This window comes from Homo sapiens, chromosome 2 (genome assembly GCF_000001405.40).
Source record: "Homo sapiens chromosome 2, GRCh38.p14 Primary Assembly".
Taxonomy (NCBI): Eukaryota; Metazoa; Chordata; class Mammalia; order Primates; family Hominidae; genus Homo; species Homo sapiens.
In genome coordinates this window covers 222,617,014-222,639,931 of record NC_000002.12, presented here as the reverse complement: position 1 = coordinate 222,639,931, position 22,918 = coordinate 222,617,014, and the positions used below count along the sequence as shown (strand labels likewise).

At 37.2% G+C, this 22,918-nt stretch overlaps 1 protein-coding gene across 4 annotated transcripts in view, besides 1 other annotated feature; it reads left to right on the top strand.

Moving 5' to 3' along the window:
- Positions 1–22,918, top strand: part of FARSB (phenylalanyl-tRNA synthetase subunit beta) — an 89,194-nt gene that overhangs the window by 16,161 nt on the left and 50,115 nt on the right. For all 4 annotated transcript variants that reach the window (NR_130154.2, NM_005687.5, XM_011510466.3 and 1 more), the window contains 10 exons: positions 237–352; positions 5,391–5,541; positions 6,625–6,733; positions 8,258–8,328; positions 9,758–9,819; positions 11,044–11,095; positions 15,157–15,218; positions 15,453–15,660; positions 16,202–16,282; positions 20,195–20,287. Coding sequence is in view for 3 of the 4 variants with exons in the window: in NM_005687.5 (NP_005678.3) it covers positions 237–352; positions 5,391–5,541; positions 6,625–6,733; positions 8,258–8,328; positions 9,758–9,819; positions 11,044–11,095; positions 15,157–15,218; positions 15,453–15,660; positions 16,202–16,282; positions 20,195–20,287 (1,005 nt within the window). In the remaining variant the exon portion in view is untranslated. The remainder of the gene's footprint in view (positions 1–236; positions 353–5,390; positions 5,542–6,624; positions 6,734–8,257; positions 8,329–9,757; positions 9,820–11,043; positions 11,096–15,156; positions 15,219–15,452; positions 15,661–16,201; positions 16,283–20,194; positions 20,288–22,918) is intronic.
- Positions 1,538–1,685: a silencer, noted in NCBI's record as "fragment chr2:223502966-223503113 (GRCh37/hg19 assembly coordinates)". NCBI's record gives its function as "represses an EF-1alpha promoter that drives an FKBP-Casp9 reporter gene in an ReSE screen in K562 erythroleukemia cells {active_cell/tissue: K562}" and the evidence as "EXISTENCE:reporter gene assay evidence [ECO:0000049][PMID:32094911]".

Below are 22,918 nucleotides of genomic sequence, written 5' to 3'. Positions count from 1 at the left end.
ACTTTTTCTCAATTATTTAATACATTTTCAGAAATCTTACTGAAATATAAATTCTGTGAAGGTAGTGACTTTTTCTCTTGTTTACCACTTTATTACTTGTTGACTGAATAAATTAATATATACTTGTTTGAATGAAAATGTATGCCAGTGGCAAGAATGCAGCTACCTTCCTATTACAAGATATTACAAAGAAAAGCCTTACTGTTTGCTATCTCTAATGATATTATGAATTTCAGACAGCTAAGATACGTCCTTTTGCGGTAGCAGCAGTTCTCCGTAATATAAAGTTTACTAAAGATCGATATGACAGCTTCATTGAACTTCAGGAGAAATTACATCAGAATATTTGCAGGTTTGTGGTTGCATTTTCTTTCTTCCTTGCCTTCCCCTTTCCCTTTGTCTCCCTATCTCCTTTCCATCCTGATCCCTCTCCCTCTTCTCTCTTGCCACTTCTGCCTTCTTTCTCTCTCTCTCCTTCCTTTCTTCCTCTGCAGATTTTTTACAAATCATTTCTAAATTAATAGTATGTGACAGAATATGAGAATTTCACTTTGCTTTACCAGATACCTTTTACTGCTTGTAAATGCCATATGCATGGAGAAACAGGAGGTATATTTTGAATACTGTATAGAGAAGAATTATCTAGTCCTAGAGACTTCCCTGCTTTTTGTTGTTGTTGTTTTGGTTCAGATCAGTCGTGGATTATGCTACTAAGTATAAACCGTGTTAATGAAGTATGATATATCATTTTTAAAATGGAAATAACATTTTGGCTTATTCTCACTTTTTGAGTGAGAGTAATTATAAATTGACAGAACTTGAGTTTAAATGACTAAATTTTACTTATTCAGTCTTTACATTACTATGCATAATTTCCTGCACAGCTCCTTTAGGGCAATAATCTTCACACCTGTATAATTTCTGAACTCTTAAAGGTCAGTGAAGGTAACAACGGGAATCCTTGAACAAATTTAAGTATTTCAAAATCCTAATGGAAACTGTATACTTACTGATGATGAGAAACCTCAGACTTTAGCCTAACATATTAAGCTTATTTGTGTTGGTTCTGAAATAGATCAGCATAAGTTACTGCATGTTGATCCAAAGGTATGATTGATAGTTATATATGTCTCAAATAAAAATAGAAAAAGAATTTTTATTTATTTTTTTGTGTGAGATCTGCTGCAGCTATTTGCTAATAATTGTAGTTTAGTAAACTGTAGAGCCTAGGAGGGGTTTATGTGTATGGGATGGGCTAGGGACAGGATAGAGGGAGAACCGTAGACATTTTCTGCTGTGGTGAAAAACATCTTTGTCCATGTGGTAGTAGCAACATTTTTTTCAGATTCCAAATAGCATTTATTCCCAGTCCTTGTATATAAAAGAGTTTATATGTCAGCTTGCTAATATGTCATTATTAAGCAAAACAATAACAATTTAAATATAATTTCAAAATTAAGAACAAAATACAAGATTTCTGACAAGTATAGGTATAACTTAAGTGGTTGAGCCAGATTATCTGCTCTGGCTCTATTATCTGTTTATTTTAAGAAGTTATTTTAATCTAAACAGACATTTTCTTACTTAATTTAACTTTAAGCTCTGTTTTATTTGGTATTTCTGGAAATCATGAGCTTTTTCTAAGGGGAAGAATTGAACACATCCTAATACTTTGGTGTGCCAGAGTTCTTTTCTGTCAGTAAATCCTAATTAACCTCTTTAATGAGCTTTGGAAGTTTACGTATTTCAAGGGATATATCGATATTGTCTAAGTTATTAAATTTATTGACAAAGTTGTTCATAATGTTTCTTTATTATCCTTTTAATATCTGTGGTATCTGTAGTGATGTCACCTCTTTCATTCCTCTGTCTTCTCTCTTTTTTTTCCTTTGATCAGTGTGGCTAGAGGTTTATCAGTTTTATTGATCTTTTTGTTTGTTTGTTTGTTTTGAGACAGGGTTTTTCTCTGTTGTCCAGGCTGGAGTCCAGTGGCATGATCATCTCATTGTAACTCCAGAACTCCTGTGCTCAAGTGATCCTCCTGCCTCAGCCTCCTAAGTAGCTGGGACTACAAGCATGAGTCACCACACCTGGCTAATTTTTAAATTTTTTTGTAGAGACAGGGGTCTTGCTTTATTGTCCAGGCTGGCCTTATAGGCTTTAAGTGATCCTCCTGTTTCAGCCTCCTAAAGTGCTGGGGTTACAGTTATGAACCACTCATTTTATTGATCTTTCAAAGAATGAACTTTTGGTTTCATTGATTCTTCTCTTATTTTTTCCTCTATTTTTATTGATTAAGCCTCTTTTTTAGGCTAATTAGTCCCTACTGCTGAGGCAAGACCCTTTGCCTACTATATCCATTGCTACATGAGCAGTGAAGTTTTAGTCTGTGTGAGCATGGAGCACTGTTTCCTCTAATTCCGTTGAGTAATTCTTTCCTGGCCTTGGGTAGTTTTCTCAGCTGCATGTTCTGATCAATACTGAGCTCACCAGTATTCCAGTGGGACCCTCTGCATATCTTCAGAGTTCTCTCTCTGTGTAGCTCTCTGGTTTTCTCTGGGACTCTGCCCACCTTGGCCTCCCCAAACTCTCAGCTATGTCTCTTGCTCTCAGGGAGTCTCCTGGACTCCACTGGGCCTGCTTTCCTGCCCTATAGTCAGGGCTCACCTCACTTGTTTCCTGTGTCTCAGGGATTGCTGCCCTTTATTGCCTGCTGTTAGTTGCCATAAAAACTATTGCTCCATATATTTTGCTCTTCGGTTGTTTCAGGCAAGAGTAAATCTAGTGTGTTATTCTGTCTTGGCTTGAAGTGCCTAGTGAGTCTTTTACTTCAGTTATTTTACTTTTCATCTCTGCAATCCACTGCCTTTTAAAAAAAATAGTTCCTTCTTTTCTGCAGATATTTCCTCGTCTATTTATTATGTGTATGTTCTTCCATAATTCTTGAACATTTTTTAGTAGCAGCTTTAAAATCTATGTGGCAGTATCAGAATCTGGGGCATCTTAGCGTTGGTTTCTATGGACTAGTTTTGTCTGGAGTAAGAGTCATGTCTTCCATATTTCTTCTCATGTCCATTGCCTTTTGATGCATATAGAATATCATATTAGGGAAGAGTCTTGACTTTGCTATGTTTCTCTGAAGAGTGGTTTTTGTTCTTTCAGGCAAAGACTTGAATACTTAGCTAGATTCAGACTCAGCAGTGGTTCAGTTTTCTGCTCAGTTCTTTCAGCTTTCAGTTGCTGCTCTATTATAGCAAGACTTTGAAATTTTTACCATTATGTTAGATAAAACCTTGATTTCTGAATATTTTTAGTTTTTTCATATCTTACTATATTTGGAATGTTAATCTTTTTACTGTATATATGTTGTAAACCTTTTTTTGTGTTTTTTGACTTTTAGTTTCTTTTGGACATGTAAGGTTTTTAATTTGGGTATAGTTATCAGTCTTCCTGTTTGACTTTTAGATTTTATGACCTACTTAAGAAGTGGTGTCCTGGAAGTTGACTCTACAGTTTTAAGCATATTCTTTTTTTTTTTTTTTTTTTGAGATAGAGTCTCGCACTCTCGCCCAGGCTGGAGTGCGCCAAGCTCTGCCTCCTGGGTTCATGCCATTCTCATGCCTCAGCCTCCTGGGTAGCTGGGACTACAGGCGCCCGCCAACCACATCTGGCTAATTTTTTGTATTTTTAGTAGAGACGGGGTTTCACCATGTTAGCCAGGATGGTCTTGATCACCTGACCTTGTGATCCACCTGCCTCGGCCTCCCAAAGTGCTGGGATTACAGGCATGAGCCACCGCGTGCGGCCTAAGCATATTCTTCTATATTTTCTTATCTTTTTTTTTTTTTTTTTGAGACAGAGTCTCACCTTGTTGCCCAGGCTGGACTACAGTGGTGCAATCACAGCTCACTATAGCCTTGACCTTCCTGGCTCAAGTGATCCTCCTACTTCAGCCTCCCAAGTAGCTGAGACCACAAGTGTGTGGCACCACAGCCAGCTAATTTTTACATTTTTTGTGGAGATGGGGTCTCACCATGTTGCCCAGGCTGGTCTTGAACTCTTGGGCTCAAGCAGTCTTGCTGCCTTGGCCTCCCAAAGTGTTGAGATTTCAGGCGTGAGCCACCTCACCTGGCCTCTGTATTTTCTTTGAATAATTTTTATGGTGTCTTTTGTATGTGTGCCTGTGTGTTTGTCTTTTGCTTTTCAAAATGCTTAGGTCTTTGATTCATCTGGAGTTACGTTTTTTTGTTGCTGATTTGAAGTTGAAATTTTGGTGATGTTTTGAGGTACTGTTTTAGGATTAAGGGACCAATGTTAATATCTAAGAAGACAGACTTTCTTACCTGTGCATTTGTCAATTATTAATTTACCTGCATTTATCAAACCATGCATATTTTATCCTATGATAGTTCTGGGTTTATTATCTTCTGTAAGCATATGACTAATTGAGTAAAGTAACACTCCCTTATTGCCTGTTAGCAATTCTTTTTAACCCTATTTATTAAAGTTGTAGTTCACCAGTCCTGCAGTCCTAGAAGTTGACCAAAATTTAATATTAAGCATTTTAAACTAATTTAGTGCACATACACTTTAAACTAAAGAATGTTAAGAACACAAATTTTGACCAAGTTCCTCCTTTCAAATTGACTGTTAGAAAGCCAAACTTGTGTCCTTTCCTGGTAAGACTTAGGCTTTTAGATTCTAATTCAGAATTAACATTTCCTGGCTCGGTTTTACATCCCTACTTCTATTTCTTTCTCTCCTATTTTGTTGCTTGCTGTAATTTCCTAAAATTACCTTAAATCCTTTGTGGATAAACTGTAGAACAAGTGAAATGAATACCTTTTGAACTTTCCTTATACATTAAAGTAAACTTGAACTGTAATTCAGAGCTGTTGAAATTAAAATTAAATTTTTTCCATGACTAAGGTAATGCAGCTATGTGATAAAATTTAGGAAAACATAGAAAAGCCAAAAAACCCACAATTCGATAGTTCGTTCTAATTTATTAAAACATGTTTACTTGAGTATATCAAGAAGAAATAGGTTAAAAGAGGTAAAGGAAATGCTAACTTTGAAGATATCCTAGAAACAATATTTGGGAAAAGATAATGGCAAGGAATTTTCTTCAGCTCCTGAAATCATGTATTTCAGGTAGTTTTGTGATTTCTCAGTACTCTTAATGGTTGTGAGAATTTGTTCATTATATGCCACTAATGATGCCATGTAGTAGCAATATGCTGTTTCAGGGAAGTATCTGAAATAATTAAAAAAAATATGTAGTCTATATTTATGTTATCTTTAGAATTTCGGCTTTAGAATATTCAAATCTGTCTCATTCTCCTCCTTTCCTTTCCTCCCTCCTTCTCCCTCAACCTCTCAACAATTAGGAAAAGAGCACTGGTTGCCATTGGTACCCATGATTTGGACACTTTGTCGGGCCCATTTACTTATACTGCAAAGCGTCCTTCAGATATCAAATTCAAGCCTCTAAATAAGACCAAGGAGTATACAGCCTGTGAACTGATGAACATATACAAGGTAAATATTCTTTTTGATTATGCAGCAGCTTTGCAAAAATCATGAAATTCCATCAAAGTCAAGCCTTGCAACTAGGGAAATGTAATCAATACTTTTAAAAAATAGCAGTGTCTGGACTCCAACCTAGAGACAGTGATTCATCTGATCTAGAGTGGGACCTGAACATAGTTTTATTTTATTTATTATTAAATTTTTAACCTCTGATATGATTTCAGTGTACTGCTAGGATTGAGAACCACTGAAGTAGACCATACCACATTGTAATCTTCAATTGAAACTCATGCAAGTATAAAGAACAGTAAAACTTAGCTAGTGTTTTTTGTGGGAAATACTGTTACAAGCTGTCTATCTCCCATTATTTAAAAGTCCAGCAGCGAAAATGAATTCAGTAGTCACTTTGAATTGTATTTAATAAGTAGAAAAAATAGGTGTCGTTTAGAAAAAGCAGGGTCATCCTTGCCCTGATTTGCAAGTGACTTCTTCGTATTTATCTAAATAGTTTTGTCATGGTTTATGTTTCCTTTGAAATGATTCAGGCATACCAGTGCAAATCTGTTTTCACTCTTGAGAAATGATTCAATTGTGTTCATTGAATACTGGAATATTAATTTATATTAGAAAATCTTATAAATTTAGAGCTTTCTTTAATTTGGGTCTGTTTTAATGTTTTTCTAACTTTTCCCCTCCTTTTTTTTTTTTTTTTTTTTTGAGACGGAGTTTCGCTCTTGTTGCCCAGGCTGGAGTGCAATGGCACAATCTCAGCTCACCGCAACCTCTGCCTCCCGGGTTCAAGTGATCCTCCTGCCTCAGCCTCCCGAGTAGCTGGGATTACAGGCATGTGCCACCACGCCTGGCTAATTTTGTATTTTTAGTTGAGATGGGGTTTCTCCATGTTGGTCAGGCTGGTCTTGAACTCCCAACCTCAGGTGATCCACCGGCCTCAGCCTCCCAAAGTGCTGGGATTACAGGCATGAGCCACCACACCTGGCGTTCTCTTCTTTTTTAATATTAGGTCAGTATGTGAACTATAGTGATAGAAATTAAAAAAAAAAACTAATTTTATTTGACTTAATTTGTTTTCAGACTGACAATCACCTGAAACATTATTTACATATCATTGAAAACAAACCCCTGTATCCAGTTATCTATGATAGCAATGGTGTCGTCCTTTCAATGCCTCCCATCATCAATGGTGAGTTATTTTATAAGCATCACAGATCTTTGCTGTTTCCTTTTAATCTTCAGCATTTCTGTAGAATTCTCAATAGACTTGGCTGAATCAAATTCAAATAACTCATAATCTGAGTATCTCAGGTCTTTTGTAGATTCTAATCATTCTTTTCATTCATTTATTCAACAACATTTTATTGGTGATTCTTATGTAACTTATGCTCATACATTTATAAATATTTTCTGATGCTAGGTTTTGGGTTCTATTATGTTTCTTCAAAGGTTATTGATGTTTTGGTTTTAGCAAGTAATTCACTTGGTTAAACTCAAAGTCAAACTCTGTCATGTCTGTAGTTTTTTTTCTTTTGTTTTTTTTTTTTGTTGTTGTTGTTTTTTGTTTTGTTTTTGAGACAGGCTCTTGCTCTGTCGCCCAGGCTGGAGTGCAGTGGTGCAGTCATGGCTTACTGCAACCTTAAACTCCTGGGCTCAAGCGATTCTCCCACCTTGGCCTCCCAAAGCCCTGGGATTATAGATGTGAGCTGCCGTGCCTGGCCTTGCCTAGTTATATAGTTAAACAAAAACTTTTAATTTAAATTTTGCCCTCTTAATTCCTTTCTGAAGGCTATTTTTATGAGGCAGTTTGAATGTATTTACAAAACTTAATGATGTCTGAGACATAGATGTTTGCGTTTCTGGAGGTAAGAAGGAGGCTTAGCTGATTTGCTATGAGAAGGAGAAGCTTCTTCTCAAGATCTTGGACCCTAGTAGTTACAGTGGTTAAGAACATGGGCCCCAGAGTTAACCAGTTCTAGACCCAAATCCTAGCCTTGCTGCTCATGATCATGGTCAAATAGTTTAATCTCTCTGAATTTAGTTTCTTGCCAGCAATTACATCATAGGATTGTGGTAAAGATTAGAGGAGACAACCTATGTTAAGTGCTTGGCATAGCACCTGACACATTGTATGCATTCAGTAAAGGCCTGTTAATTATTTTATTTTTATTCTTCAACTTGCAGTAGGAGCTTTAAATATAAGTTGTTTATCCCTTTGCTCTTAAGATGTTAGGTTTTTTTTTTATTATTTTTATTTTTTTGAGACAGAGATTTGCTTTTGTTGCCCAGGCTGGAGTGCAATGGCACACTCTCGTGCCATTGCACCATGTCGTGCCATTGCACCATGTCGTGCCATTGCACCATCTCGGCTCACCACAACCTGCACCTCCCGGGTTCAAGCAATTCTCCTGCCTGAGCCTCCCAAGTAAGTGGGATTACAGGCATGCGCCACCACGCCTGGCTAATTTTGTATTTTTAGTAGAGAAGGGGTTTCTCTGTGTTAGTTAGGCTGGTCTTGAACTCCTGACCTCAGGTGATCCGCCCACTTTGGCCTCCCAGAGTGCTGGTGGGTGTGAGCCACCATCCCTGGCCAAGGTGTTAGTTTTTAATATGTTTTACATTTAAAATGTAGTTTCTGTTTTGTTGAGCTTAATAGTGCACTTCTATTTCTGAAATTAGTTATTTTAATGTTATTGTTTTGTGTTCATTGCAGGGGATCATTCCAGAATAACAGTAAATACTAGAAATATTTTTATTGAATGCACGGGAACTGACTTTACTAAGGTAAGTAAAACTTTTACTCAATTTTTGTATGATCAGCTGGGATAGATTTTATTTCCGGACCAAGACTAAGTGGCTAAAATTTAAAATATGTGCATTTTGTAGGTGGGAACATATTTTAGAAATTTAGACAATTAAAAAGATAGAGATATTCTACACTTTGGTTATGGTGCTTTCATTAATTCGACAAATGTTTAGTGAGCACCAAATGTCTTTCCAGTGCCAAGAATTTAATAATGAGTTACATGTCTCTTCACTTCAAAGAACTCCTAGGGGGAGAGTTAGTCATATACGTAACTATAAAACACAAAATGGAATGAGTACTATAGCGAAATCCATATAAATTGTTTATCTAGTTGACTTAATTTATATGCGGAGTAATTTGGTACCTTTGTGTACTTGTTAAAATCTTAAAAAAAAAAAAGGAACTGGCGATGAAGAAGCTTTATTTAGTAAATTGATAGATGGTTGGTTTATGCACACAAAATTATCTAGAATATAATTCTTCACCCACTTTGAGTCAGTTCATCTATTGGAATGGATTGCTATGAAAGCTTTTTCTATGACATATGACTTCTTTACATATGTTAAATGAGGTGGCAGTTAAACAATTTAAAAAAGGTAACCTCAAATGGCAGGAGAAGGCTGGAGTATAGAAATAGGGCAAATAAATGGTATTCATGTACATCTTATAGGATTAGAGACCATTGTAAGGTATTTCCTTTATAACTTTTAGGTACTCCTTGCCTTCAGAAATATTGTCAGGGTAGTACAGCTTTTAATATTAATTTTTTAAAAAATTTAATTCGTGCATTTACAGACCTTGAATGTCTTTCCTGAAGCCTGTATATATAGGAGTGAAATATTTATATAAGAGTAAAGCATATATTCCAATAAGGTCACGGTATTTTTTTTCTAAGAATTTTTTTTGAAATAGAAAAATTATTTAACAAATCTATATGGTGTTTACTACATGCCAATTATTTAATCTTTGTAAGTACCAGACAAGATAGGAATTTTCATTATCTCCTTAACAGGTAAGAAAAGTGGTTTGCCTAGTGTCATACTGTTAATAAGTGCTTGAGCCAGGATTCAAGCAGCCTGGCCTCAGAGACTTAGGAGATTGTTAAGATTTATTCCAGTAATTAGCCATTTGTCTCTGTTGAAGCCCAGTGAACCTGAGGTTGGGGGTTGGGGAACGAAACGATTTGTCTCAGTCATGGATTATAACTGTCAGAGAACTGCGTAAATGCAGAACACCTGAAGATAAGGCTAGGCCTACTCATGTTTTTATTCCACTTCCTTTCTTAAAATGTATACGTAAAGGTCCATTAGATGTGAGGACACAATTATATTAAATATTAATTCATTTCCATCTGAGTGAAGAGAATATATTTATAGATTACTATATTTGTTTTTCTTTTCTTTGCAGGCAAAAATAGTTCTTGATATTATTGTCACCATGTTCAGTGAATATTGTGAGAATCAATTTACGTAAGTTCATCCAGCACCTTTATTGATGGCCCATTGTTCTGAAGGCGAGGCTTTGTGCTAAATGTAAAGATAGGCCAGGTGCGGTGGCTCACACCTATAATCCCAGCACTTTGGGAGGCTGAGGCGGGAGGATTGCTTGAGCCCAGGAGTTCAAGACCAGCCTGGGCAACACAAGAAGATGCCATATCTACAAAAAATTAAAAAATTACTTGGGTTTGGTGGCCTGCGCCTGTAGTCCTAGCTATTGGGGAGACTGAGGCAGGAGGATTGCTTGAGTCTGGGAGGTCGAGGCTGCTGTGAGCTATGTTTGTGCCACTGCACTTGAGACTGGGTCACAGAATGAGACACTGGCTTTAAAAAAATGAATGAATAAACAAATATAAAGATTAAAAATGTGGTTCCTATAACTAGAACATATAATCTGTTCAGGGAGATAAGACATACGCATAAATATTGGATAAAGTCATAAGCATTAAGTACTTTAAAAAGTTTTGGTGATATTCCGGCTGTTTGTAAGGGCAAGTTACTGCCAGCTGATACAATCTGAGAAGGCTTCATGGAGGCAATGAAATTTAAGCTGTGTTTGGGGATCATTGGATTTGAGAATATATAGATGGAGGAACAGCAAAAGAGCAGCTAAACAGAGGTAGAGAAGCATATATAAGAGCAAAGCATGTATCCCATGTCGGTAAGATTACTGTATTTTTTCCAAAGCATATTTTTAGTTTAAAAAACTATTTAACACATCTATGTGGTCCTTGGTACTAGCATCATAGTTTATTCTAGAATATTAATATAATTGAAAATAAATATATAACTGTAGAAAGCATGATTGAAATTATATGGGCAGTATCAGTTTTTTTTCAACTGATTTTCATTTCAGTGATTCTTTCAGTTTTATTATGTAACACACTGCCCTGGTAAAGCCTAGAATGTGTGTGTCAGTATTGGCAAGGAGTCCCTGTCGGATGCATGCTTTGCAGTACTGGAAAATAAACCTTTCAAGTAGGTGGTGCCTGAAAAGGACATCGGAGCCCTAGGAGATGAAACAGTAGAGTATTATTGTTTATAGCAAGATCAATCCAAACAGTGCTGGAATGCGATAGATGGAGTATGTTGAGGCTGTAGTTGTAGCCCAAATGAAAGATTTGATAACCATACTCATGTCTGTAATTTATGGCACATTTTTTTCTTAAGTATTTTATTTCTGGCTTTTGTTTTCAGGGTCGAAGCTGCTGAAGTGGTTTTTCCTAATGGAAAATCACATACCTTTCCAGTAAGTGCTTAAGAAATGACTTCATGATTATGACAACAATGCTAATAATAATGGCTATAGAGCACTCATGTTCTGTCTGTCTATCCATCCCCTACCTACCCACCCGTGTGCCAGGCGCTACACTATGTGCATTACATGGATTTAGTCTTCACCATAATCCTGTGAGGGTAGGTGCTCTTATTAAGCTTTTTCCAGATGGAGTCCCTGAGACCTTGAGATGTTAAATACCTTGCTTATTATTTTTAAGTGGTAGAGCTAGGATCTAAATTCAGACAGTTTGACAGCAGCTGTAAACACAACATTATACAACAACATTGTGTGGTCATAATTCCTATGATTTATTCTATTAACTAGTTAACTGAGTAGTTTTTTAAAAAATGTTTTTATTCTTTAATTGGCACATAATAATTGTACATATTTATGGGGTACAGTGTGATGTTTCTATACATGTATATAATATGTAATGATCAAATCATGGTAGTTGGCATATCCATCATATCAGACATTTATTATTTTGTTGTGTTGGGAACATTCGTAGTCTGCTCCTCTATATTTGAAAATATACAATAAATTGTCGTTAATTATTTTGTAGCATCCTACAGTGCTGTAGAACAATAGAACTTATTAAATAAGTAATTTATAGTCTCACTCCTTTTAAGATTACTCAGCCCTCCGAACATAGTCTGTTCACGCTTGAATTAACAGTTGCTGAAGGCATCACTGTAACTAATAAATAATTTCAAATGTATTATTAAGACTAATTTAGTAGTAACCACATAGTTATTTTCAAGCGTAAGATCTTGGTAAAAAATCTAAACCAGTATTATTCTTGGGTGGTTTTGTCCCCAAGGGACTTGACATAAAGATGACTGTTCTAAAACATAACAGTATCACAGTCACTTCGTGGTTCTCATTCAGTGAGAGCATTCTTTGATGAGCTTTTCCTTCCCCTTTGAATCTTTCACTATTCCCTTGCCATTTATGAAGTAAATCACAGCCTGAAATAGTTTCTGCTATTTAAATAGCTTTTACAGTAGATGAAACCTGCTAAGATCAAAACCTCCCCATTCCGGAAGACATTAACATTTAGCATCATATTTTATTCTAGAGTGTTAATTATACTTCAAAAGAAACATAACTGTATGAAGCATAACTGAAATTATATAGGCAATATTAGTTTTTAAAAGTTGATTTGGATTAAATATCTATTGTCAGTTAGCTTTTGTTATTTAACAAACTACCCCCAAGACTTAGTGGCTTAAAACAACAACCATTTATTTATCTCATGATTCTTTTGGTCAATAGGGTGGTTTTCCTGGTCTGAGCAAGTTTGGCTAATCTCTGCTGGGCTTACCCATATGTAGTCAGTTGACTGGTTGGCTAGCAACTGGATGATCTGGGATGGCCTCACTCACGTCTGCTTCTTGGCAGTGGGGTCAACAACTCACATGTCCCTCATCATATAGCAGGCTAGCTTGGGCTTTTTGACTTGGGGTTGGTTGCAGGGTTCCTAGCAGCAAGAGAGCATGCCCAGTGCCCAGGCATTTTTCAAACATTATTCTGTTGGCCAAAGCCAGTCATTTGGCTAGATTTGACAGGTGGAGAAATAGATGTCATCTCCTGATTGGAAGATTGGCAGTGTCACATTGCAAGGCCATGGATACAGAGAGGGGAGAAATTTGTGGCCATTTTTGCAGTTTATGACAGTAGCAATTGGGATTAGCTGGACATAGCTTTTTAGATGGTTTTAAAATAATGCCAGAGAAAAGTTTCTTTTTCTTCTTCTTCTTTTTTCTTTTTTGAGATGGAGTCTCCCTCTGTCGCCAAGGCTGGAGTGCAGTGGCGCGATCTCGGCTCACTGCAAGCTCTGCCTCCTGGGTTCACGCCATTCTCCTGCGTTAGCCTCCCGAGTAGCTGGGACTACAGGCGCCCGTCACCACGCCCGGCTAATTTTTTTTTGTATTTTTAGTAGAGATGGGGTTTCACCATGTTAGAGAAGATGGTCTTGATCTCCTGACCTTGTGATCCGCCCGCTTTGGCCTCCCAAAATGCTGGGATTACAGGTGTGAGCCACCGCATCCAGCCTCTTTTCAATATGATGATTTGTCAAGTGTTAATAAAAGTGATTATATATTTTTGGGAAGAAAAGGAGAAATATATTTTAATATTTGGTTCACTCTTCTCCTCATATGGATAAACCCTTAAAATCATTTATTTGTAATATAGAGACCTTTTGTAAATTTGAAATGGTGGGCTTTCTGAAAAGGAGTACTGCATGAGTGTTTTGGCATTTGTTCATTTATTTCCTCCTAAACTTAAATTAGAACAGCTTTTCTTAGGGAAGGATCCTCTGGGGGAAACTGATTCTTTCTCACATGAAATAGCATATTTTCTCAAACTCTGAAAATTTTTTTTCTTGTGTTTTGTTATTTCATAGAAAAAAATAAAGTTTTAAAATAAGAGAACTAGGGGAGATAAGTTGTCAGTAGTCAGACTAATGGTTAATGGTGTGTACTTTGGAATTAGGTTGTCCTAATTTATTAATTCATTAATTTGTTCATTAGTTACTTCTTTTTTTTTTTTTTTTTTTTTTGAGATGGAGTCTCGCTCTGTTACCCAAGCTGGAGTGCAGTAGCATCAGCTCACTGCAACCTCCACCTCCTGGGTTCAAGCGATTCTCCTGCCTCAGCCTCCCGAGTAGCTGGGATTACAGGCTTGTGCCACCATGCCCAGCCAACTTTTTTGTATTTTTAGTAGAGATGGGGTTTCACTACATTGGCCAGGCTGGTCTCGAACTCCTGACCTCAGGTGATCCACCCACCTCGGCCTCCCAAAGTGTTGGGATTACAGGCGTGAGCCACCACGCCCAGCCATTTGTTACTTCTTGTATGCATACATTCACTTATTAAATACATATACCAAACGCTTATTATCTGATAATCAGATAATAAGCACTGGGCATATAGCAGCACTTGGACTTGGCAGTTTACTATTCTGACCTGGAACTAGTTATTCAGCTAAAATTCAAATTCCTTACCTGTCAAATGAGAATACTAATAGCATCTGTTGTGAGGATTAAGTAAGATTATCTTTAAAATGCATCTCGTACTGTTCAGCTCATAATAACTGTTTAGGTCATAGTAACTATTGAGAAAAGTTATTATTACTTTGCAATCTTCACCTTGTGCCTCCCAAACCCTGCAGTGCATTCTCATCACCTGGGGATCTTGAAAACGTGCAGATTGGGCTTCAGTAGCTCTGGTGTCACTGCCACTAGCTATCAAGACCTGCAGTCAGCCTTTCTCACGAGCACTCAGGTGATGCTAGTGCTTCTGCTCTGAGGACCGCATTTTGAGTAGCAAGGTTCCAGACCATTGCCTTACTTGAATCAAAACAGGTTTTAAAATCTATGGCCTTTTTGCTAGTGGCATGTTATACTTTTGAGAGTGAATGAGTGATAAGAAATATTCATAAGGACATTTCCAAAGGTGTTGAAAAGCCTGGGATTTATGTGTGTGTGTTCTCACCTCACTAATACGGTGGAGTTATATACTGTTTGAAGGAGACTGAGTACCAAATTCATCATTGCATTTCTCCACCTGGAAATGGTAAGAAAGGAATATCTTCATCATGCTCTTAGACTTAGTATGATGGACACTGTGATATTGGAATTACTCTTTCTTGGTCATATCCATCTGCTTGCATAGGACGAGACTGAAAATCTTTAGCAGGATTTATAAACGTCTTTGGAATGATGTAGCACAACAGTGTTTTACTGTGGGGAATGGGGAATGACTATCTGAAAGGGAAAATTGTTTGGCATTTTATATTATTTCCAGGCAGTGCAAACTGTCTAGCAAGTAGAATGTTCATATATGAATCTAATATAGCAAATTTATCCCTCATAATACTGTTTTTGAAACATCAAGTTTATTCTCAATGTGTGGCTCTAATGACAATTTCTTGGGAACGTAATAGAACTGCAATAATGACTAATGGAAAAGACTCTAAAGCTGTATCTGATGGGAAATGATTTACTTTTTAAACTCTTTCTATTTAAGGAATTAGCTTACCGAAAGGAGATGGTGAGAGCTGACCTAATTAACAAAAAAGTTGGAATCAGGTATGCTCTGAAAACTTCACTTAATTCAAGAACAAAGTACACGTATGACTAATTTTTTTTTTGCGATCCTTCAGAGTCTGTTAAGGAATGATAAAACATCAGTTAAGATATCTGGTTTCTGATAGAACTCAAAAAGAAAGGTTACTGTTTCAGCTAGTAGCATATGTTGAAACACAATGTAAACATTAAAAAAATAATCCAATGAAGTTTATGGTTTGTTCATTCCTTTTTCAGAGAAACTCCAGAAAATCTTGCCAAACTTCTGACCAGGATGTATTTAAAATCAGAAGTCATAGGTGATGGGAATCAGATTGAGATTGAAATCCCTCCAACCAGAGCTGACATTATCCATGCATGTGATATTGTAGAAGATGCAGCTATTGCTTATGGATATAACAACATTCAGATGACTCTCCCGAAAACTTACACCATAGCTAATCAAGTAAGATTGCACCCTTAAATAAACACTCCTTATTGTTAGAAACTGATTATTTAATGCCAGGAAGGCTTCGAGAAAACAGAACGTAGGAATCAAGCAGTATTTGGACATGCTCTGCAATGAGAGGCATTTGCTGTGGAGAGGATACAAAACAGATGCCCAAATGATTAGAGTAAGTTGAAAACCTGTGATGACTAGTTCTTTGAAGAAAGACAAGTTTTGAGTTTGGAGCCCTTGTTGAATCTCTCAGAGATTCATTTTCTCAACTTGGGCCTGAAGGCAGAAGCTGTGTGTGGGAGAGATGGAAGTGGGGGTGGTTTGTACATCTGTGTAGGAGCAGAGGGGTGGCAGAGCGGTGGGGAGGGAGGAGGTAATATTGATAGGGAAATAGTGGCATTAGCAGTACGTTAGTAAGGGTGAAAAGGTTTTTAATCTTTTAAACATTTTTATTTAAAAAAGTTTTAATGGCATGTTCTGTATAAATCTCCCTTTTAAAAAACAAGAAATAATTGCGGTGAAATCAAGTGGATGCTTTTTTTTTCAGTTTCCTCTTAATAAGCTCACTGAACTTCTCCGACATGACATGGCAGCCGCTGGCTTCACTGAAGCACTTACCTTTGCCCTGGTATGTCTTACATGCTTTTTCTGCCCAGATGATTATTTACTTAGACTCTCTGAATTATTTATTCTATGATGCTTTATAAGAATTTATAAAATCTAGACTGTTAGAACTTCCAGATTCTGGAAGAATAACTTTGTTACTTGAGATTATACAATTCCTGGTAAAGTAATGTTGAAGCTTTTGTTTTTACAGCCACAAAAGAAAATGAAGGCCTAGAAAAAAATACCTCAAATGAGAGATGACAAAGTATTTTATAGTTTCATGTGAGTGTTGAGAGTTCACAATGTATTTCATAACCAAATTTATTAAGTTAGAATATTTGGTCTTAATTTGGTTATGGCTGTGCCCACTAGATGCCGTCCTGGGTAAAGGCTTGTGGACTGTTCCACATTAAATTAATTTCTTTGTCTTTGAACATGTTCACAAACATTTGCTTTGAGTTGAAAAGCTGACATAAAAGGCCTAAATCAGGAAATGACTTTTATTACAAAATCAGAAGGAAATTTCCCTCCCCCACCAGATTGACCATTTGAAAGAATAAAATGTGTATGCAATTTGTAGTTCCGTTTTTCCCTCTTGCTGAGCATTTCTGTGGTGCCTGCAATGTAGTTCTTGAGCATTCAAGTATGTTTAATCTATGAGGGGAAAGGAAGCTTCTTCTTTTTCTCCCCTGCAACTTAGCCCTACCTCTGAAATTCTCAATATTTTAGAGTATTTAAGGGACTCTACTTCTAGTTTGCTTAATAAATATTAAGCATTAAGATTTTTCTGATTCAGGAGTCATTCATTCAACATTTGTTGAGCATTTATTATATGTCAGGCACTGCACCAATGAGGAAGCCTGAGGCTGAGAGAGGATAAGTACGTAGCACATTTTACACGGACAGCAGGAGAACTGCTGTGTTCCAGGCCACCATACCTGCATGATCTCATTATATCATGAGCAGGGTCCTGACCTTTAGCCTCCTAGAACAGTGCTTTTCCATGGTCTCATACCGTGTACACTAGGTCTGTAATGCCATGTCATTCATCTTTGCACATATATATACACACATTTGTAGTTGTGAGCATCCAGGATTTCATATAAAATGAAGTACCAAAAATAACATTGAAAAATATATTTTTATTTTTTAAAACATATGAGTGTCACAGGAATACATCTTATTTTAAAGGACTCATACTTTAACCATGTAGATTAAACCATAACAGTTCTTTTCCCCACTTCGAATCCTCTTTTCCTCCCCAGAAACAACTGCTGTTAAAACTTGGGTATGCATTTTTCCCTGCCCTTTTATATTAGTGGTGCCAGTTTGAAAAAAGTTACTTATTACTTTATCCTTTTTATACTTATACTTTATACTTATTACAATATCCATTGCCAGTTTGATTTTGTGACCTTAGAGCCTCATGTGTCTTCGAAGGAGCACAGAGGCCGAGTCTTGACTAGTGGCTGCTCTGCAGGGAATGTTTACCCTGTGCCAAGGGCTTTGTGTACATGATTCCATTTCTTCTCAGTATACTCCTGTGAAGTGGGCATTCCTGTCTTTCACAGCAGTTAATTTAAGTAACTTGTCCTACGCCATGGCTGTGGATCAGGGATTCCCGCCCATGCCTGTCTGCATCCAAGGCCTGTGACTGAACTGTCACACCAGGGATGTTAGAAACAGTCTGTTTAGCTGTCCAAAGTCACTTTAATACATTCAATGTTTATCACTGGGGGGAAGAGAAAGGAGTGAGCTCCTAGAGGGTTTCAGATTTGTACTAAATTTTCCTGTAGGAATTTCAACATTAAAGATGTTTATAAAGATGTTTATAGGCAAGCCTAAGCATCGCTGAGCAAAGATGGTCTATGTTGTTAAATCCAGTTTTGCACAAGAGTAACAGCCATTTTTTTAAGCCTAGTCTCTGACTTTCTAAGTGTAAATAATTCACACTTCATCATATTGATTTTTGCTATATCTGCATAGTAGTTGTAATATTTTCTTTTAAATTGGCTCACTTTTAAGTTGGCTTATGTACTTCAGCCTTGTTATAGGAATAATATCTGTAAAAACTATAAGGTTCATTTACTTGTTGTATTTTTCTAACACATTAAAATAAACACATAAATATTAACATTAAAAAAGTTCCTGGCAGGCATGGTGGCTCATGCCTGTAATCCCAGCACTTTGGGAGGCCGAGGCGGGCGGATCACTTGAGGCTACAAGTTCGAGACCAGTGTGGCCAACATGGCAAAACCCCATCTCTACTAAAAATACAAAAATTAGTCGGGTGTGGTGGAGGTTGCAGCAAGCCGAGATTGCACCACTGAACTCCAGTGTGGGCGACAGGGTGAGACTCTGTCTCAAACAAAAAAAAGTTTCTTACTGTGTACTAACTACTGCCACTTCAGGGTAGCTTAATTTAAATTGCCTCTTGTCACTATCCCTTATTATCCATTGCCATGATAAAATACAAGTTCACTCAGATACACAGCTGCGTTGCCATGTGTCTGCAGAGTGTTTTTCTTTTACACAGAGAGGACTAGTTTCATTTGAGAATAGATTGCTTCATGTCAGTTGCATTTCATAATTAATCAGTCACATTATACCTAAGTCTTGCTGTAAAACTTCTTTATGCTGTGGGGAAAACGCTTATCCCCAGTGTGCATGTCACCATTCTCCATCTCAGCAGCTGTAGCAGATCCGGGAGCTGTTTTCTGCTATGGCTGGATGTGGCTTCAGGATCTTTCTCAAGAAAGCATGGCAAGAATCACTAGAACTGACATTGACATGAAATGAATTCTTTTTACCATTTCAGTTGATGTGTATCATTTTGTTTTAATAAGTGAAATACAGGCCAACTAGCCTTTGAAAACTAGTTGTAGAACAGCATAATGAACAATATTGCCTAACATTGGACAATAGTACAATAATCTGATGGTACATCAGTTTTTGTGTTACGTTTTAAATGCTTTTTCAAAAAGCTAGCATTAATATACATGATAATAATTTATCCTTAGTAATGATTTGTCAGTTATCATCATTGTTGGTATTTTTTGAGTGCTTACTCTGTGCCAGGCACCATACTTGCATTATCTCATTATATCATTTATTATTAGACTTGATGTATCTAATCGTCAGTGAGTTTTTAATTTCATAACTTCTGCCTACAATGCTGGTTTCTGAGGGTGGCAAGCATCTTTCTCTTCGATTGGTGGGTACTCAGCAGTTTATTTGTTATGAGTTTCAGGCATGTGCACAGAAGTTAAGTGATACAGTAAAGAACACTGGGCAGAGTTCCAGTCACTTGAATTCTGTTGTCAGTCCTACTGTTCTGCCACAAGTCAGTATGGATTTAGCAAGGGTTATAATGGTAGTCAAAATGGAAAGTCATGAAATACCAAGGAGGGAGAGAAAGTTTCTGACTAGAGTCATTAGGAATATTATGGAAGAGAGGTCATTTAAGTCAGCCTTAGGGAATGGTAGCAGGTGAGGCTGGGAGGACATTTCAGGTAAGGTAGGGAAACATAAGGTTTAGGGAATGGCTAGGGCATCATGGGAGATTAGATTGGAAAGGTAAATGGGAAACTAGCTTAGGAAGGGCCCGAGTACAGTTTATACCATCTCCATGTGAAAAATTTACTTTAGCTCTGTATGATGGCTAGGACTCATTGTGAAAGAAGTATTAATGTTAAATTCCATCTGCTATGGGCCTGAGATTGATGTGTATTTATTGTTAGCTTATTCTTTTTTTGTTTGTTTTTTATTATTATTATTATTACATTTACTTCAGCTCACACCAGGCCTATTCTTAACTTGCTGATATGTGTAGAGAATATAAATTGCTCTTAGAAGTTGACTTACAGCATTACTTTTTATTTTAAACTTAAGTAATTGCTTTTCCATATTAATCTGTTTTGTGTGTACTTCACAGTGCTCCCAAGAAGATATTGCTGATAAACTAGGTGTGGATATCTCTGCAACAAAGGCAGTCCACATAAGTAATCCTAAAACAGCTGAATTTCAGGTAAGAATTTTAAGTAGGTGAGAATTCATGTAAAAACCTAGAGGTAGTACATGAGTTAGGAAAAGTCTCTTCAGTTATTATACCTGAGATGGTGAAATCTTAGAGCTTTTTAATAATATCTTCTTGGGTAAGTTTATAGTTGGTTATTACGTGCTTTGCTGCCAAAAATTCTTTACACTTTTAAAAATAATATCTTCTTGATTAACTTCATACTGGGTTCTTACTTGCTTTGTATTATCTGGCCCAATCTCTCTTGTCTGAACTTTCCATTTCATAATTGATTTTTTAATACTATTTTCAGATTTCATTTTTTTTTTTTTTTTTTAATTTTTATTTTTTGGGACAGAGTCTTGCCCTGTTGCTCAGGCTGGAGTGCAGTGGCACGATCTCGGCTCACTGCAACCTCTGCCTCCTGGGTTCAAGCGATTCTGCTGCCTCAGCCTCCCAAGTAGTTGGGATTACAGGTGCATGCCACGATGCTTGGCTAAATTTTTTTTTTTTTTGAGACAGAGTCTCGCTCTGTCGCCCAGGCTGGAGTGCAGTGGCGGGATCTCGGCTCACTGCAAGCTCCGCCTCCCGGGTTCACGCCATTCTCCTGCCTCAGCCTCCCAAGTAGCTGGGACTACAGGCGCCCGCCACTACGCCCGGCTAATTTTTTGTATTTTTAGTAGAGACGGGGTTTCACCATGTTGGCGAGGCTGGTTCTGAACTCCTGATCTCAAGTGATCCGCAAAGTGACCTCAGCCTCCCAAAGTGCTGGGATTACAGGCATGAGCACCTAGCCAGGTTTCATCTCTTTTCCATTCATTTGTAATAAATGAATCAAAACCTGTTCCCAGTTCCTTCGTAAGTCATTCACTTTGAAATTGCCCATTATATCAGTTCTTGACTGTGCTGCTTATGTCTTTTATTGTAATTGTCTAAGTTTATTGGCAGTTTCATTTAGAGGTTAGGAATATTTAAATGAGAATGATACTGCTTTAATATTGAGTATTAAGTGATTTGTGTTATAGACTAGGATATTAACTATAAAGGGAGGGCATTTTAAGATTATAACATCTTTGCTTATTAATAACTTTAAATAGTTCTCTTTTATACTGATAAGCTCTTGTGCTGTTTCTCTTGCATATGCAAGTCTGTATGTTTTTTAACCTAGATTTTAGAGAAAATCATGTCTTCTTCTAGAATCAAGGGGAATCTTAGAACTGGAAGGTTATATTTTAAAGAAGGTTAATGCTATTATAAATAATATCTGAATTCTGATTTGAAATAGTTTCTTTGGATTTTGGTTTTTACTTCTACAAAAATAAGGGACTGGGTTAGTTCTAAAAAGAATTCTAAAAGTTCTAAAAGTGTTTAAAACTAAATTTAAAAATTCTAAAGTTTATCTATAGAACCACCTGCTAATGTTGTAGATTAGAGCTAGACTAATTAAAGAACTAATTGGTAATATATATCAAGTATATGAATTCTTTATCTATACTTAGGGTCAGAACTTTGAAGAATCCTTATACTAATTTTGGAAGGATTGTAGTAATGAGTTGTTATATTTTATTTTCTGAGGTCTAGTTTCCTATTGCTTTTAAAGTTTGCCCATGGTGTTCCTTTTAATAAGAGGTATTCAAATTCATTTGCATAGAATGATTTTTCAGTAAATCTTAATGGATTTTTGCTTATTCGAAATGTACCTTTTTCTCCCAGTTTTACTTATCTAGCTTGATTACTTTTTTAAAAAACTTTATTTTATTTTTATTTATTTTTTGAGACAGAGCTTCGCTCTCTTGCCCAGGCTGAAGTGCAGTGTCCTGATCTTGGCTCACTGCAACCTCCGCCTCTTGGGTTCAAGCGATTCTTGTGCCCCAGCCTCCCGAGTAGCTGGGATTACAGGTGTGTGCTACCATACCTTGCTAATTTTTGTACTTTAATAGAGATGGGGTTTTACCATGTTGGACAGGCTGGTCTCGAACTCCCGGCCTCAAGTGATCCACCCACCATGGCCTCCCAGAGTGCTGGGATGACAAGTGTGAGCCACCTCGCTTGGCCTTTTGTCAACTTTTATTTTAGATTCAGTTAGTACATGCGTGGGTCTAATTACAAAGGTATATTGCATGATGTTGAGGTTTGGAGTGTGACTGAACCCGTCACCCAGTAGTGAGCATAGTACCCAATAGGTAGTTTTTCAGCTCTTGCTCCCCACCTCTCTCTTCGCCTTGTATTCCCCTAGTGAAGCTTGATAGATTTCTTAAGATGTGGTAACTGTTATGTTCTTCAGGATTTACATCCTGTCTTTTCTATTTTATATAAGTGGAAGGAAAATAATCAGAAATGCATTAAATGTCACTATAAATAGCTGTGGCTTAGCACACTTAAGAATCAATCTTTCTTGGGAGGCCGAGGCGGGTGGATCATGAGGTCAGGAGATCGAGACCATCCTGGCTAACAAGGTGAAACCCCGTCTCTACTAAAAATACAAAAAATTAGCCGGGCGCGGTGGCGGGCGCCTGTAGTCCCAGCTACTCGGGAGGCTGAGGCAGGAGAATGGCGTGAACCCGGGAAGCGGAGCTTGCAGTGAGCCGAGATTGCGCCACTGCAGTCCGCAGTCCGACCTGGGCGACAGAGCGAGACTCCGTC